Below are 18,626 nucleotides of genomic sequence, written 5' to 3'. Positions count from 1 at the left end.
GACGTAGAGTCTGAATGTCTCTTTTCCAGGAAGTTCCCATGACTCTTTGGAGAGCAGAGTGCTGTCTAACTTATCACAGTTACAGTTTCAAATGGCAGGTACTACACAAAACATTGGCACTGTCTTTCTCCAGAAAAATGGGTGTCATTTGCTCTATTATCTGCATAACTATAAGCAACCAGGCAAGTAGTCCTTGACAGAACAAAAGCATCTTCAACCCAAAAAAAGTGATTCTACCTCCTACCTTAGACTTCAGAATCCAGTTCCAAAAATCAAATCAATATTTTCCACATTGAACAATTTCAGGATTCAGTCTTCACCTATCTCTCCTTTATATATGTGTATCTCATTTAATCCTCAATTCTACTTTTTATATCAATGTTATTGGTATTTTTATTGATATTTTTGATATTTTTAATATGTTATTGATTTCTTCTAAAGCTCAGAAGAAATTAAGATACACAAACCACAAGATTAATGCCACATAGATTATAAGAGATGGAGGCAAGATTTGATACCAGTTCTCTTTGGCCACAAAGCCCCATGTTCCTTCTACTACATGGAGGCATCCACATTCCTCCAATAGAGTTCTAGGGTCATTTTGAATTCCCTTTTAATATCTTTTCTGTTTGAGAGAAAAATAAATTGCTCCTGCTCTTGTGATTTGGAAAGCATGGCCTACCGATAATTAGGGCATGTGGACTTGGTTCTAATTCTAATACTGCCAGTAGTGCAATAAGTGACTTAAGCAAGACATGGCACATTCTGGGCAACCGTTTTAAAAATGCCATCCATCTTTAACTTTTTCTTATTTCTCTGTACAATAGGGGCTATTAAAATACACAGGATTTAGAGCCCATGCTAGTGTCTAATCCGGCAGCACTTTGGCCCCTTTGAGAATCGAAATGGCAAAGCCAAGGTAATATGGTCTCAAACTTCAGCTGTCCTGCGTGGCTCCTATCAGTCACAATTGCCTTCTTGCGTTTTGCTGATCTCACTTAACCTTGCTTTCCAAGGATAAAGTATTTGTGTCCTCTATCTATTCTCTTTTCTCTCCCTCCATCCCCTTCCCCCTTCCCTCTCTCTCTTTCTCTTTTTCGTGTGTGTGTGTGTGTGTGTGTGTGTGTGTGTGTGTGTGTGTGAGAGAGAGAGAGAGAGAGAGAGAGAGAAAGAGCACAGCCAGGTAGAACTCTGATCACCGGAGGTTGGTATATTTCAGGAATTGTCTTCCATTCTCCTGACACACATTTGTTAACCTCAGATGTTACTACCGGCATTTTCTTTCATAGACATGCCTCGCTCTCTTCCCAGGAAGACACTTAAAAATCAAAAGCAGACTACCTTGTAATCTAGCTCCTCCCACTAGGCCCAGCCCCTAGTCTGGCTCAAATACCAAGGAATATGGGCTTATCTGCCAGGCTGCTCTCTACTGCCATCTCATGGTAATTCAGCCTTTCTCAGAGAATCAACCTTTCAGTAGGTGCAGACCCTCACAGGAGACAGAAATCATAAAGGCTCATGTCTGCCAGAGCAGCAGTCTTTACGACAGATTGTGTAGGACTTAAAGGCTGAAAATATCAAGAAAATTACTGAAGGAGTTGAATGTTTAAGCAAGGTGTATATCATAACTTGATTTCAAAAAGTAACAATTAAGAAAGTATGACTTATGACAGAAGGTGAATCCTGAATCAGAAAGACCCATTTCTGGGGGGGAAAGTGGGAGTTTGAAACATACCAGAATCTTGAAGATATATTTATGGAGATGAACAAACTGAAAACATCACTAAGAGTCAGCAATGATTTCAACACAATGACTAGGACAGTGCGTCAGTGTCTCAGAGTCTATAAAAGCAAAGTCACAATGAAGTCCACTCAGTCACCCAATGCCGTGTCACTGTGTGCGTAGAATTGTCGACTGCCCTGGCCCTGCTCCCACCAACATTCATGAGGAACAGCAGCCACATGTCCACTCACAGACTCTCTCTGGCACTTGGCTGCTGCTTCTCCCATCACTTGATCATAATTTGGAGTATTTCCATCTATAGGCATCATGCAACTTGCCTTCCTGTGTGGCTGCTTAACAGACAAGGCCATTACAGTGTACACATTTGGTTATGAAAAGAACACACTTTACATTGAATAAAATTTGGGAACACCCCACAAAGGACTGTCAGTGTATGGCATGCAACTCACTGACCCAGGTTATGATTCAAACGGTGTGCTTGGGCAGTGCTTTTATTATTTATCTTTATTCTCCTCCTATTATATTTTTTTCTAAATTGGCAAAGAGGGTTTAGATAATAATAATAATACTTGTAGTTTGAGCTGTATTAAATCAAGAATCCAATCTGTAAAGCTAACCCAACCTGACCACTTAGTCAAGCTCGTCTAATGCCAATTTGAGGCAAAAATCAAGATTAGGTTAAATATTTCCCTAAAGGAATGAATCTTCCAAGTTCAAACTTAAATCAAACAGCAGTATCATTCCATGCAGAAGAGACATAATTGCAAAAAAGTTCATGCCTTACCTCCAGCAGTCTTGGGCTTCCAGAGGGCTTCAGGCTGTCGATTTGCGAACAAGAGATCCAGGATTACGCATTCTACAGTAAATAGAAAAAAAAAGAACAAAAATATATTGGGATAGCTACAAATGCTGTGAAAATGTGTCACCTACAGACTACTAAAAAAAGAGAAAATAAATTGGAATTAGGTTCATAATTCCAGTTGATATAAGCAATTCTAGGCCTTCAATCAAAAAGATTTCTCCATGCAAAACTTAATAAGTAATCCAACAGTGCTGACCAGGGCCTGACAAAACATATGGCATGGTTATTGTAGGTAAGCAAGACCATTAGGTGGAACAAGGACATGGAATAAAGTAACACCAAGGCACACCGTAGCAAAGTTATTTCCTTTCCAATAATTACAATTAGTTCATGGGAAAAGTCTTATTTTGGTTAAAGTATGTCTCTAAACTGTACTAATCTCTCTTTTAACTAATTTGGGTATTGGTAGACAAGATTCAACTAGAATTTATTAATAGGGTTTTTTTTTTCATTGCATTTGTATTTATATGTCTTCTATTTACCATCTGCAGGACACTGTGAGGAGCAAGTTGTGATTAGTATACAAAGTCTCGTGGAGTTTATAATCATGTGCACACTTTTCTGAGAGGAGAAATAAAGTATTTCCTTATAAAATGGTTTTCAACTTAAGTGGGAGTAAAGTAAATCTTAAGTAAATAATAACACTTTTAATATATCAACATACAAAAGATCTTAAAAGTAGTAATAAGTGACTGAGTTTGGGAAATAGAATTTTCATGAAGAAGGGAGGTAAGCATACCTGGGAGATTGGAAGCTAAATGAAGACAGAGTCAAGGATGTCTTTGTTAATTTTATCTCCAATATCCAGCAAAGTACATGGCATATGATAGGTATTTGATAAATACTTTTACAATAGATGAGCAAATAAACACTTTCTGGAGAATCTGGAGGATGTTTAAATGTCTGAGCTACTGATGGGCATGAAACAGGGCTTGCCTATTATTGTAATTCTAATATCTGGAGTTGTTAATCTAACAGTACTCTGGGAATACTTACTGCATATATAACTGAACAGGTTGAAGTGTCCTGATTTCTTAACATTTCTCAAAAAGAAAAGGAAAATGAAAAAAACTGAAGACAATTTTGAAGTCCTCCCCCCACTAAACACACACACACACACACACACGCACATGCGTGCACATACACACACACACACACACACACACACCTTAAAGCAACTGTCCTCAGGCATTCCAAGGCAGGAAATCCGCCCCTGGTTGGGGCAATAAGGGGGTGCACTGCCTGTTAAGAGTTTTAAAATCATAATAAAGTTCAATTAAAAGTTGATTTGCTTTTTATCATCACCTTGCACTGATAATTCTCAATCATGTCAGTGATAAAATACTCCTTCCTCTGGGCAGACAGCTCCCACTACTCACTATGCCATTGAGTTCAGAAAAGATGGGTTATTTACTTAAAACAGGTAAGAAATTATGCTGACAGGAAATTTGGCAGTGACAGACTTTCCGTACCCAGAGACCTCAAGAGTTCAGGGGCCAATGAAAAGGAAAATCCAGGACTTTCTACATAAAACATTCCAAGAAAGTCTAGACAGGGTGGAATAGGAGGAATTGGTCTTGGAAATCATTCTGAATGGCTTCCTAGTGTGTTGATGAGGGTAAGCGAATGCAGCCCAGGGGAAGGGCTACTCCCTTTAGCCTGAGTGTCTAACAGTTGTGGGCAATTTTATCTGTACTATTCAAACCTGGATATTGGATATTAACAATTCAATCTGTGCTTTATTGATCTTTTCTGTAGAAGATAAGTAAGGAAAAGTGCCGCTTTAATAATTGCACAGCCTGTCAACAGCAAAATATGTAAAATAAAGGGTTTTGATAAGCAGGTGATCTTTCGGAAGGTATTGGGTCAGCTGCTCTTGATAACTCCCCCTTTGCTGTGAACTCGCTCCACGTAACACAGCTCACTTCATATCTACAACTGCCTCTTCTGAGGTTAGCCACCATGGCTGACCATGGCCCTTGGTGACTTGTGTCCTTTCTCAGAGCCGAGCTTTCACCCACTTATACTGAGTACCATGAGTAGGACAATTCTTGCTCCTCATTGCCTGTTTCCCTGCAGAGCTAGTGCTCAGACACTTGTTTCCACACCATTTTACCACTTCTTCGATTGCAGTGGTTGAAACAGTCTCCATTTCTGCTAATGCTGTTAATTCAGGATAAATTCTGCTATCATGAGAAAATGCCAATAATGGAAATCACTTTCAGCTGTAACTGCATTTTCAATGATGAAGAAACATAGGTATGAACACACATACACACACACACACCCGCACACAAACACACAGTAACATATATTTAAATTAGAAACAAGGTTGAAGTTGCTAATTTTCTTGATTGTACTGTATTTCCAACAAGAAGGCAGTCAAATCTAGTGCAATAAGTGACAATCAGTGGCATAAGACCATTATTTACATAACATATGTATTGGCCTATGCTTCACCAAGCACTGTGACATTAACTGTCTCAAAACAATCCTGTCGGTATTATAATATTATTATAATATAATTTTTATGCTACAGATGAGGGGAAACACTAAGGCCGTAAAATTAAAGACAATTTTTCCAGATCACATTACTAGTAGGGGAAGGAGTTCAAACTGGTCTTCTTTCTGCTTCCTAATGGAGCAGGCACATTTACTAAATGGCACCGATGCTGCCGGTGTAGGTCTTACAGAAATAATTACGACAGTGATAAAGAACTATATCAATGATCTCTTAGCATCCTGGCAGGGAAAGAAAAGAGACAATGAGTTAATCCCTAGCAAAATGCCATGATGTGTAAAAAAGAGAGAAACAGCTCCACTTCCATTTCGCAAGCACCTAAGTCAGCGCTTGCAAAGTTATCCCTAATTCAACAGCTTTTTTTCCATCCCTTCCTCTACTTCTCAATCTACCATTTAGCTAACATTTTCCAGTAGTTAGTTTCCAGAAATTTGCCAACATTCTTGCATATTCAGCCTTTAAACATTAAATGAGAATACACAGGGTATATGGCCTTATGTCAATCTACCTTCTCTACATTGCCTCTTCTAGCAAGCATTAGCATTAATACCGACATGTTTACATCATAATTACTTTAATTTCCTTGGCCCCAACCAGACCCGGAGTGTGTCAATCCACAGTGATTTCCAGGGTGGGGAATGATAACTGGTCTATGAAACATAAATTACAATAAATGCTTGGAAACTTGGCATATCACTTCTAAAATGATCTCAGCCTTGTAGCAGGGAGGGCACAAGCCTTTTACATTGATATGGATAACTCACAGTTTTCCAGGTCTTCATGTTCTCATTTCTAAACAAGAACAAAAATTATTATCCTTGTGAAGAAAAGGGAACCCTTATATACTGTTAGTGGAATTTTAAATTGGTACAACCATTATGAAAAAGGTGTCAAGGTACCTCAAAAAAACTAAAAATAGGCTGGGTGCAGTAGCTCATGCCTGTAATCCCAGCACTTTGGCAGGCCAAGGTCGGTAGATCATTTGAGGTCAGGAGTTTGAGATCAGCCTGGCCAACATGGTGAAACCTCACTTCTGCTACAAAAAAAAAAAAAAAAGCCAGGCGTGGTGCTACACTCCTATAATCCCAGCTACTAGGGAGGCTGAGGCAGGAGAATCACTTGAACCTGGGAGGTGGAGGTTGCAGTGAGCCGAGATCACTCCTCTAAGCTGGTGAGCCTGGAAGACAGAGCAAGACTCCATTTCCAAAAAAAAAAAAAACCACACACCTAAAAACAGAACTGCCATACAGTCTAGCAATTCCACTTCTCGGTATATATTCAAAGGAAATGAAATTATTAATGATACATTAAAGAGATATGTGCACTCCCACATTCTTGTAGCATTATTCACAATAGCCAAGATATGAAAACAACATAAGTGTTCACCAGGAGATGACTGGATAAAGAAAATTTGATAAATATTTACAATGGAATATATTACTCAGCCCTTAACAAAAGGAAAATTAGCCATTTGTGTCAACATGAATGAACTTTGAGGACATTATGCTAAGTGAAACAAGCCAAACACAGAAAGACAAATACTGCATGATCTCACCTATAGGTAGAAACTAAAGAAGCCTAACCTATGGAAACAGAGTAGAAAAGTGGGTGCTACAGGCTAGAGGGTGGGAGTAATGGAGGGATTTTTGTCAAAGGGTACAAAATTTCAGTTATAAAATGAACTAAGTTCTGAACATCCAATATACAACATGGAAACTACAGTTAATAATAATGTATTGCATCCTTGTCATTTGCATATACAGTACATCTGAAGTGTGCTTACCACACACAGAAAAAAATGGTAACTATGTGAGGTGATGAACATCTTAATTTGCTTGATTGTAATTATTTCACAATATATATGTACATCAAATCATTTTGCATACCTTGAATACATACAATTTTTATTTGTCAATTATACCACCTATAAAGCTGGGAGAAAATAAAAACACATTATTTTCTTTATCTTTTCTATGAAAAGTTACAAATATGAACATTTTGATATCAGAAAAGCATGTCAAGTTCCCTGGAGGAAACCAATAGGTAATATTATTGCAGAATTGGCAAGACCCTTTACTGGTGAATTAGTCCATTTTCGCATTGCTATAAAGAACTACATGAGACTGGGTAATTTAGAATGAAAAGAGGTTTAACTGACTCAGGTCTGCAGTCTATACAGGAAGCATGGCTGGGGAGGCCTTAGGAAGCTTACAATCATGGTAGAAGGCAAAGAGAAAGGAGGCACATCTTACATGGCAGGAGAAGGAGGAAGAGAGAGAAGGAGGAGGTGCTATGCACTTGTAAACAACCAGATCTCATGAAAACTCACTATCATGACACCAGCAAGGAAAAAGTCCGCCCCCACAATCCAATCCCTTCCCACCAGGCCCCTCCTCCAACACGGGGGATTACAATTGGACTTGAGATTTGGGTGGGGACACAAATCCAAACCATATCAACTGCGTTTAGAACATAAAGTCAGAAACCTTTCCCCTTTATAAGTTATGCAATAATTTAGCCACCTAGCAATGTTGCAAAGCTAAGTCTAGGCAATAAGAATTTTAACTGGGATGCGGACAACTATTTGCCCACTTCTTCTTGTACAAACATCTATATTTAGGGGCTTATTATTAAGAACCAATTAATAGTGAAAGAGGTTAGAGTTAGAGGCCAAATAGAAATGATTGAAATTTTATGAGGAATGTTTCAATATTTCTTACACATTACAAATCCAGATACACATTGGTCAAAATGCATCTACTGACTACCTGCTGTGTTCAAAGCACTGTGAGTACAAGACAGAAGACGATCTTGTGTTTATCGAGTACCTACTATGTTCTAGGTGCTGTGCAAGGCACATTTAGTTGTTGTGTATCTGTGAGTGGTGAGGGGAGTCAGGGAGGGCCAGGAGGTGTAACAGGAGAGAAACAGAGTATTCTAGCTTGAGGCTCACTTTAATTTATCACTGGGATTCATACATATATGGCAAACTTGTGAAATTACCTGATTATTTGCAGAAGAAACTTAAGAGTCTCTTAATAGAGTAAATTCAGGCAAACCCCCACTTGGTCCATGACAGTGCCTTTTATCAGTGGGGTGGAGCAATCCATGGGACTGTCACTTTGATTTGTGTTCTGACCTAACTTTGTATGGACTCATATATTAACATATGGTACTCATCCATTAAGAGGTATTTAAATTAAAAGGTTAGAGAGAGAGAGTCTTTCCATTTTGACAAGGGTGCAGGGTGGTTTGTGCACATGGAGGACTATAAATAATTCAATAAAATTTTAGCTCCTTGAGGGCTTGACTAAATCAGTCACACCACAGTGGTGGCAGGGAATTAGCTACCATGCCTGCATACTGGCACCTCCTCAAACCAACCATCTTATAAGAGCAAAAGCCAGGCCCAGATGTGGAATACACTGTTGGCTGATCTGGGAGCATCAGGAGTCCTTGGCATGGACTGGACACTGGTGGCAGTGGTTCGGCATGAGGCAGAGACAATGGGTATCACCAAAGGCACCTGAAGCAGGATGGGTGCCTTTTCTTAACGAGCACATATGAGACACCTCTATGGTGGGGGTGCTGCAGGGGCTGAATTTATTACAATAGCATCCAGAGAAAGACTTTTTACCCTACATGATCCTGCAACACATACTTAACATGGAAAATATATTTTACTTTATTCCTCCTAACTGCCTGACAATAAAAGTTTATTAACCTTATCTTACTGATGAGGGATTGTAGCTAAAAAAAAGTTAAAATCTCTTCTTAAGGTCACTACATGGGTTGAATGGCAGCCCCCCAAAAGATATGTCCAGATCATAACCCCTGAAACCTGTGAATATTACCTTATATAGCAAAATATGTGAATGAGTAAATTTAAAAAGGGGATGAGCCCATTCTGCATTATCCAGGTGGGCCCTAAAGGCAATCATGTGTATGTATCCTTATGAGAGAGAGGCAGAGGGAGTCTGGGGGACAGATAAACGAAAGAGAAGACATACAGGAGAGGAGGTGGCAAGGTGACCACAGAGGTGAAGATTGGAGTAACGCAGCCACAAGCCAAAGTATGACTGGAGACACCAGAAGCTGGAAGAGGCAAGGAATGGGTTCTCCCTAAAGCCTTTAGAAGGAGTGCAGCTCTGTGGACACCTTGATTTCAGACTTCTGGCCTCCAGAACTGGGAGAGAATAAAGTTATGTTTTAAACCACCAACTATCTGACAACTGGTCACAGCAGCCACAGGAAACTAATACAGTCGCACAGTAAACTACAAAAGACATGTTTCAGATCTAAGTTTGTCCAACTTTAAGGTGTGTTCCCTTTGGGCCCCACGGGGATTCCCCCGACATACTATCAACACACTCTACAACTCTTAGGCCTACCATGACGCACACATGTGCTTCAGCTGCCACCACCTTTTCTTTGGAAATACATTGCAAAGGGTTGAGAAACTTTGGCGTTTGAGCCTATTTTCCTTTGTAAATGCAAATGTACTGCATGTGTTAAGATTTAAAGGAGACATATATGCAGTCAGGGCTATACGAATTGAGTCAAGAGAACTTGTCATGGGCAGAGATGATCAGCAAAGGATTTATGGAGAAGAAAGTTTTGAATTGTGAAGAAAAGGGTGCATGTATGTGGATAACTGTGAAGGACCAGCTTGAACATTCTAGGGCCGCTGAAGGCTTGAAAAATATTTCTAGGGGAAAATTACAAGCTTCATGCAGAGTTCACTGTGGAACCCAGCTTGCAATTGAAAATATTGCACCAAAATGAAAAACTAGGTGGATTTAGATCCTGGTTGTTTTTGTTACTGTTATCATGGATTGCTGCTATTCCTTCAGGAAACTGAGGTAGTCTTATTTACTTACTGAAGATCCTTTTCTTCATTTTTTTTAAAAAGTCCTTTCCATATCCAAGTTCATCATTGAATTGGTCTTGTAGCTACGTCTCTTTATGGTCAGGCATTTTCTCTCTGTCCATGTGCCTCTTTCAATGACATCTGTTTTGCTAAGAGATCTAATGAATTATAAGCCAGACTAGGACAAACAGAGCCATAAAGGCTGGGTTCTTGCAGAACAGGTTTTAGCTTTATTTCAGCCCTTCTCCCCTCACCCAAGGTGAATTAAGTAATCTTTATGAGATAAAATTACCTGCACTCTTGCCTAACCTTAATAATGAAAAAGAGAAGGCCTTTTATCTATTCATTGTGAACAGAGTAATCACAATTCGCTATGGCTCACAGAAACAGGAAAAAAACAATAACAACAAACCACCACAACTAATGTGTTTTTGTTTCTATCTGAAAATCCGAAGAACCTAGTAGTTTTAACTCTAGTTCATTACAGTCAACGATTTAATCTCTGATGGCAGGGAAACAAGAAATACGTTTATGTCCAGGGTAGCAACAGCATCACTCCAGATCAATATTCAAAAGGGCTGTAGGAAGGAGGTTCAGTTTCCTAAAAAAAAACCTATATAGTTCCCGTCTGAGAAGAGAGAGGCCGAGATGGGTCATTTGGGATACATGAAGCATTTGCCTTCCAGAATTGCTGGTGAGGCAACATATGTAGTGCTTGCCTGCTATGTAAGGCACTGTGCTGGGACCTGTGGAAAGCACAAAAGGTTAAAAGCATCATCCCTGCATTAAAAATCTTGTTGGTGAAACGAGTCATAATGACTTAAATTTTAAATAATAGCCCCAAACAATCAAAACAAAAAGAACCCCAAGTAAGAGTTCAAGACAACAAAAATAGCAAAAGGCAGGCCACATTTAATTACCAATAATTGCTACAGGATGTCAGAAAAATGGGAAGAGTATATCACACTGGCGTGGTCTGGAAAAACTCCATGGTAGTACCAAGATTTGAAATGAATCACGCTAACAGGATGTAAAAGGAGAAAAACATCAGTATCTAGAATCACCAAATAGTAACTTTATGAAATATTCAGTATTTTCTGGTAATACACCAGGCCTATCTTACTCATGTGGCAGGATCAAACCTTGGTATGCATTGACTTGGACCTGGGCACACTGGGAGGTAACATTGTTCTTTCATCCCAGTATAAATATGAATATACAAGCAGAAACATATACATTCTTCACACATTTTACAAATTTGCCCTTCAAGTTCTAATCTTATGAATTTATCCCTTTGGGACTATCTGTCGGTTTGTATTGCTCTTAGCTCATCCCTCTTAAATAAATTAACATATGAGGACTAGATTTTCCATTCCAAATAGAATGACTCATTGAAGAGCAGAAAGCAATTAAATTTCCAAGATGAAGCTTTTCCCGAACATCCTATACACCTCACTTTACCAATTTAAAAAATTGCTATGGGCATTATTATTATTAATATTATTTTTAATGACGGAAATACTGTTCTATGCTATGTGTAATAACCATGAAATTTAACTCTGATGGACAAACCTCAGATTCTTGGTCTACTAGATTCAACTTAATCATTTGTCCAACAAATATTACAGATGACTCCTTTATGCTAGGTGATGTTTCCAGTGCTTCAGATATAATAGTGGGGGAGAAAGCACAAGGTCTGTGTATTTATGCAGCATACATTCAAGAGTGTGTGTGTGGCAGTGGCTGTGGGGAGACAATGAAGAAGTAGTCTAATGAATAAAGGCAATTTCAGAGTGCAAGGTTTCTGCATGTGGAATAATGACAGTGTGATGAGATGATGAGGTGCAGGTGGGGATGCCATTATTTTAGGCAATGTGGTCACCAAAGGCTTCTCTGAGAAAGTCATGTTTGAAGTAAGAATCAAATAAAGGCAGTGATGCGAAGACCAAGCAGAGAGTGGTCTGGGCTGAGACAAGAGCAAGTACAAACGCATTGGCATAGAAATGAGCTTGCTCAAGGAGCAAAAAGAAGGTCAGGAGGGCTGGGCAGAGTGAGAGAGAGGAAGTGGCTGGAGGAAGCAGGAAGAGGAAGTAGGCAGGAGTCACACCATCTGGGGACTTGTGAGCCACAGACAGGACCCAGCATGCCTGTTTAGGGCAAATACCAACAGTAATTTCACAAGATCAAGGCATAGTTAGTTGAGTTAATTTCCGGGTCATTAAATCTGCTGTTTTATGTTAAAGTGCTTATTGGTAAGAAACATCTCAGTTACTTATAAGCAACGTTTACCAAATCTATAACATTTACCAAAACTGGGATTTGTTTGTTCACCCAGTTTGATGATTCTATTATAGTTTAAATAAAAATTAGGAAATTTTTGCAATATGTTTAAATACTCCTCATTCCCCTTTCACAATATTATCTGCACAAAAGGTTGGAAGACAAAGAAAAACATTCACAATTACATTAACACCTAACACTAATGAATCACTGATTTCCAGCTGTCTTTCTTCCTTCTTATACACTGTCCTCAAGCACACAGCATCATGATGTAGTTTTTAATCATAGCAGATATATGATTTCCCTTCAGTGCTTTCAAAGCACATTGAGAGTCGGGTACTCATCATTTTGTAAGATTTGGTCATCAGCAAGATGATTTCTCGGACTACTCTAAATAAGCCTGGCTAACCCAACTTCATTGATCACTGCTTGCAATGATTTGCCCCTTCTTGTTGGCTTAAATCTTCACTTCTTATCAAAATTGGCTTTTCAGGGTAAAGAAGACTTGAGACAAAAAGTAATTTCTGATAAGCAGTAATGAGACTGACTCCTTCTTACTGAGCTCCCTGGGCATAAAAATTAGATTCTAAATAATTTCTAAATAATTTCTGAGAATTCACAGGAGGAGAATTCCTCGCCATAGCTGAGTGTCAGAATGTTGCAAATGAAGAGACACAGTGGTGGGATGGCTAATTAGATGACTTTAACCTCACCTAGCTATGCCTTAATAAAACCTAGAAAATAGGCATTTTTTTTTAAGTTTGTATGTAAGATTTTGAAACTCCCTGACTTGGGGATTTGAATACGGGGATCTAAAGAGCTTAAAAGGTCAATGGAGGAGTTAGTGGAATTGATTTTCAAGAATGGATTTTATTTAATAAATTCATGTGTTATTTAGGAAATTGAAGTAGAAGAACCAAATACAGTATATTTTAAACACTCTGCACTACTCCACATTTTTCCCCAGATAGTTATCTTTGTTATCACCCAGAGATGAAATCTTTTTAAGTAGAATTTAATAGACTCTCCACCAGAAATTCTTAAGAATTTAATATTGGTTTAAGTGCAAAGCTGCAGGGGAAAGAGGGGAGAAAACCTATTGTTTGTTTTGAGGTTATTATAAAAGTTTTTAATTTTAAATATTTCCACTTATGGATATTGTAAACACCTCAAATTTAGTGTAGTCAATACAGAATTTTTGATTTCCACTGTTACTTCCCTTCATCTGTTTCTCCGTGGTCTGTCTTGTTTAGTAAGTCACCACCACCCAGTGCAAAACCAAGCTAGGTTTTTCTTGATTCTCCTCTTTCTCTCAGATGATCCTGCATTCAATAATCAAGCCATCTGCAAGTCAGTCTACAAAATATGTCACATGGCTGTAATCAATGTATTGGTGGGCTGTGTTTTCATCTGCAGGTTCAACTGGGAAGAATCTGATGCCCAGATCATTCAGGCAGTTGACAGGATTCATTTCCTGACAGCAATTTGAATGAGGGGCCTGGCTTTCTACAGGCTGTTGTCTGAAGGCTGCTCTGAGGTCTTAGAGGCCACCAGAAGTGGCTAGAAGCTGTCTACACACCTTGCCACATGGATTTCTCCAACATGGTCACTCAATTCATCAAGCCTACAAGAAGAATCTCTGGCTTCAGTCTGCTGAGATAGAGTTTCACATAATGCAACATAATGATGGGGGCTGTATCCTATCACCTTTGCTATATAACAAAACCTAATCACAAGAATGACATCTCATTACCTTTACCATAGGTAATGGGTTAGAAGCAAGTCACAGGTCCCATTCACGCTCAAGGGTAGAAGATTACACAAAGCCATGAATACTAGGAGGTGGAAATCATTGGGGCTTATCTTAGTGTTTGTCTGCAACATTTATACTGATATTCTTTATTAATAGTTTATTTATTTATTTATTTTTGGTTTTGACCTCATAGCTTTATTTCTTTTGCTTACTTTGATTTCAGATGTTTTTGTCCCTTTAGGTTTTTTAGATGGAAGCATATGCCATTGATTTGAGACCATTCTTCTTTCCTAAAAAAAGGTGTTTAGTACTATCAGTCACTTTCCAATCACTGTGATAACAGCATCCTACACATTTTTATTTTTCATGCTTTTACTTTAATTCATTTCAAAATACATTCTGATTTCCCTTTTGATTTCTTCTTTGACATACAGGTTAATTAGAAGTGTGTTATTTCATTTCCTAATACATGGGTATTTTGCAGATATATTTCTACTATTAATTCCTAATTTAATTCCATTGTGGCTAGGGAATATATTTTGCATATTTTGAATTCTTTTTAAATTAATAAGACTTCTTTTATGGTCAGAATATTGTCTATCTTGGTAAATGTTCCATGGGCCTTTGAAAATAATGTGTATTTTTGTTATTGGAGAAAGTCTTCCATAATGTCAATTAGGTTAAATTAGTTGATAACATTGTTTAAGTCTTTTATATTCTTATTTAGTATAAATTTCCTATTTATTGAAATAAATTGTTAAAATATTCAACTATGATTCTCATACTACCGCATATATGGTGAAAACCTCCAATACATCAGTATAATTTCTACTTTAAATAACCAATGGTATTTTAAAGAGATTTTTAAGAGTATTTTTATATATGCTCACAATTTTAACATTCTCAGTGTTATTTATTACTTTGTATAGATCTAGATTTCAGCTCTTGTTTGTCTGAAACATTTCGTATTTTTATTTTGGTTTTGAGAGATATTTTGCTGAGTATAAATTCTTGGTTGAAAATTTTATTCTTTCAGTACTTTAAGAGGTTTCTTCTCTGTCTTCTGGCTTGCATTGTTTTCAATGTCTGCAGCCATTTTTATGTTCTCTTTTTGTCTGTATTCATTGCGACTTTTTTTTTCTTTTGGCTACTTTTAAGGTTTTCTGTTTATCACTGGTTTTCAGCAATTTGATGACAATACATTTTGGTGTAATTTTCTTCCTGTGCTTGTGCTTGGCATTTATTGAGTTTCTTGGATCTTTGGGTCTATATTTTTCATCAGAGTTGTAAATTTTCACCCATTATTTCCTCAAATATTTTTTCCATGTCTCTTACCTTTTGAGTACTCTAATTACAAATATATTAGCCTGCTTGAAAGTATCCTGTGTGAGAAATTTGGTTAGTTTCTAAAGGAATATCTTCAAATTGACTAACCTTTTCTTATGTAGTGTCTAATCTTCGGATAGTCTCTTCCTACATATTTTTAAATCTTGGGCAGTTATATTTTATCTCTACAAGTTTGAACTAGGTCTTTTTAATTATCCTCCATATCTGTGCTTAGCATGCTCATGCTTTCTTTTACTTTCTTGAACATATAGAATATACTTATAATACTGCTTAATATCCTTGTGTGCTGATACTTTCATCTGTGTTTTTTTTCTGAATCTTCTTATATTGATTGATGTTATTTCTCCTAATAAAACGTGTATTTTTTCTTCTTTGTGTGTATAAGTAAGTCTGTATTGGATGCTTGACATTTGAATTTTATATTTTTGAATGCTGGATATTTTTGTATTCTTTAAAGTAGGTTTGAGATTTGTTCTGAAACCCAAATAAATTATTTGGTAAGCTTTTCAAGCCTTGCTTATAATCTTTGTTATAGAAGACCAGAGCAGTCTTTAGGAATAATTTTTTATTGCTACTAAGGCAATACAGTTCCAAGTATATTGCCAGTGCCCTGTATAATGCAAAGTTTTTCCACTCTGGCTGGAAGGATGAAAATTCTTACCAGCCTTATGTGATCTCTTGAGACTGTTTCACCCACTTCTTTATTGGTTCTTTCTCAAGATGTGGGTGGTTTCCTCACACCCTCATACTGATGAGAATGCAGAGAAGACTTGGGAACACTCATTATGGAGACCTCAAAAGCGTTCTCTCTGTGCAGCTCTTTCTTTTCAGTACTCTGTCTTACAAAGTCTAGGGGCTGTGGCCTCCCTGAATTCTCAAATCCATCTGCTAACTACAGGGGGACTACCGCCATCTGTTTCAGATCCTCCTTCCTGGAAACTCTTGAGCAGTAAACTGAGACAATCTCAGTGATTACCTCATTTGTTTCCCTTCTATCAGATATTACTATTTGCACTGCCTATTGCGTATCCTAAAACTGTTGTTTTGGAAATATTATTATTTTTTTCTTTACTTGTTTAAGGTGAGTGCACAAATGTAGTCTCTGGTCCTTCACTGCTAAAAGTAGAAGTAATCTTTTCATTTTGTACCCTATTATATGTACTTCTTTATTATAATGTTGAAAGAAATTCTAGCGGCAGCTCTAATAATTTGAAGCAGTGTTGAGCATAAATAATATTTCCAGATATCTCTAAGGACTGTGTGTGATATTAAAATATTTTTTTGGTGATAAAATCACAGCAACTGCTAATACTACTTAGATTTGAATCTTGCATTAATAATTGGAGGACTGTTACATTTCAATTAGAGGTAAGTGAAAATAAAGATTCATTTTTCTTATACAAGTTCATGGACTCCTGAATTTTCCATGAATACCATGGAGGTGTATGGACTCCATGATAAGAAGTATTGTGTAGAGAAAGCCACCTGGTTCTTCAATTTTGGGGGTAAGTCATAGATCACAGAATCTGTTGCCTCCAACACCTTGTTTGGTCAAGCTTCCTGCTGGTTCTATATCCTAATTGTCAGTAAGCTCCTAAAGAACAATAAGATTAAGTGGGATAATAGGTAAAGCAGTTACCACTGTGCTTGGCATCCAATAAGCCCACAATAATCACAATAACATTAGCTATTAATCATCATCGCCATCATCATCATGGCAGAGTGGAACCATCTTGGAGGGGGGCTGAAGCTATAGAATTTGAGGGTCCCCTCTTTAAAAAAATCAATAAAGTGTTTTCCTTTTGCAAATCCTATGAAAACTCATGACTACATGAACCTATTACTATATCAGGATCTCTCCCAGGGTCTTGAAGCCACATGGGCAAGTAAGCATTCCTGAAACTTAATCTTCATTAAATTCACAATAAATCTGCTTCTGATTGCCATTCTCTTCTTTCTCATCTTCATAATTCATCAGTTATTCATGATGCCAGAGCTGTTAAAGTGGAGTTAATGGTGGTGAGAAATGTGGAAGGGCAATGAAGATAGGTGAGGACCACTACCAGGCCTGACCTCAACCTTTGGAGGCTTAGGATGCGTATTTAAATCCTGGAGAGATTCTTTTTTCCCTATATTCCCAACAGCAAGTGTATCAGAGTTGACTAGTGACAGAGAAGGTATCAATGGAAGGCAGCGGTCCCACTTACGTTACTCCTTACTCTATTCCTATCACCTAGTGTGGATGCTCCACACAGTGTGTCAAAACAATGCATGAATGTAGTTTCATTTTCCAAAAATTTTGTGAAAATAAAAACTAAAAAAGAAGAATGAAAGAAAATAATGAATCTGGATATTGCTACAAGTTGTTTGAATTTTAACTATTGAATCTTGTATTTTCTAATGCTGGGATTGTGGAAAGAGGGACATATAGGGGTGAACAGGGAAGGAAATCTGCTAAATTTTTCTTCAGTGCCTTTCCAATTGTCCTGCCAACTCCTGTTATTCTTCCTCCAATTATGGTCTCCTAATCCTCCCTCCTTCTAATGCCTGACTCCTATTCCTCTGGTTCCAACTAGAGTGTCTGTGGATAACTAATAATGATAATAATAATAATAATAATAGCTAACATTTATTGAGTGCTTACCATGTGCTAGGTTCTGGGCTGTTTTTTAAGGAGATCATCTCAAATTCCTACCACTCCCTTGATGTAGGTATTATTAACCCTTCTATCATAGAGTGGAAAATCAACGCCTACAGGATCCAGTTAGCATGCCCAGTTCACACAGTTAATAAATCATAAAGCCAAGATTCAAATTTAGACACTGACTGCAGAGCTTGGGCTCAAAACCACTGAGTCCCCATACTACCTGGCTGTAGTGGGAATACAATTCAGGCATAATTCATTTACAAAGCATCTGCGTTTTAAAAGGGGTAACTCTGTAATGAAAAGTCTTCAGGACTCAAAAAAATGTACGTGAAAAGTTGGCATATTAGGTTGCTGAGGTGAATAAGAATCCTATCATATAATGTCAGTATGTCCTGTGAGATAAATAATGGGGTAAAAAGCTCTGTGTGTGTGTGTGTGTGTGTGTGTGTGCACATGTGCAAGGATGGTAAACTCTCTCTGTGAAGGCATCTTTAGCTGTCTCACAGTGAATTAGGTTATTTCACCTCCAGTGCCCATCTCAAGATAGCTCATTGCATTCTTGCTGGGTAGTCTTCACAAGATGCCATGCAGTCCTCATGGGC

General features: G+C 37.9%; 1 protein-coding gene across 1 annotated transcript in view; it reads right to left on the bottom strand.

The window, feature by feature from the left end:
* Positions 1 to 18,626, bottom strand: part of SEMA6D (semaphorin 6D) — a 590,140-nt gene that overhangs the window by 301,155 nt on the left and 270,359 nt on the right. The window contains exon 3 of the mRNA NM_001198999.2: positions 2,529 to 2,600. The gene's annotated coding sequence lies outside the window, so the exon portion shown is untranslated. The remainder of the gene's footprint in view (positions 1 to 2,528; positions 2,601 to 18,626) is intronic.

Source organism: Homo sapiens, chromosome 15, assembly GCF_000001405.40.
Source record: "Homo sapiens chromosome 15, GRCh38.p14 Primary Assembly".
NCBI classification, from domain to species: Eukaryota; Metazoa; Chordata; class Mammalia; order Primates; family Hominidae; genus Homo; species Homo sapiens.
This window is presented reverse-complemented; position numbering and strand designations above follow the sequence as displayed.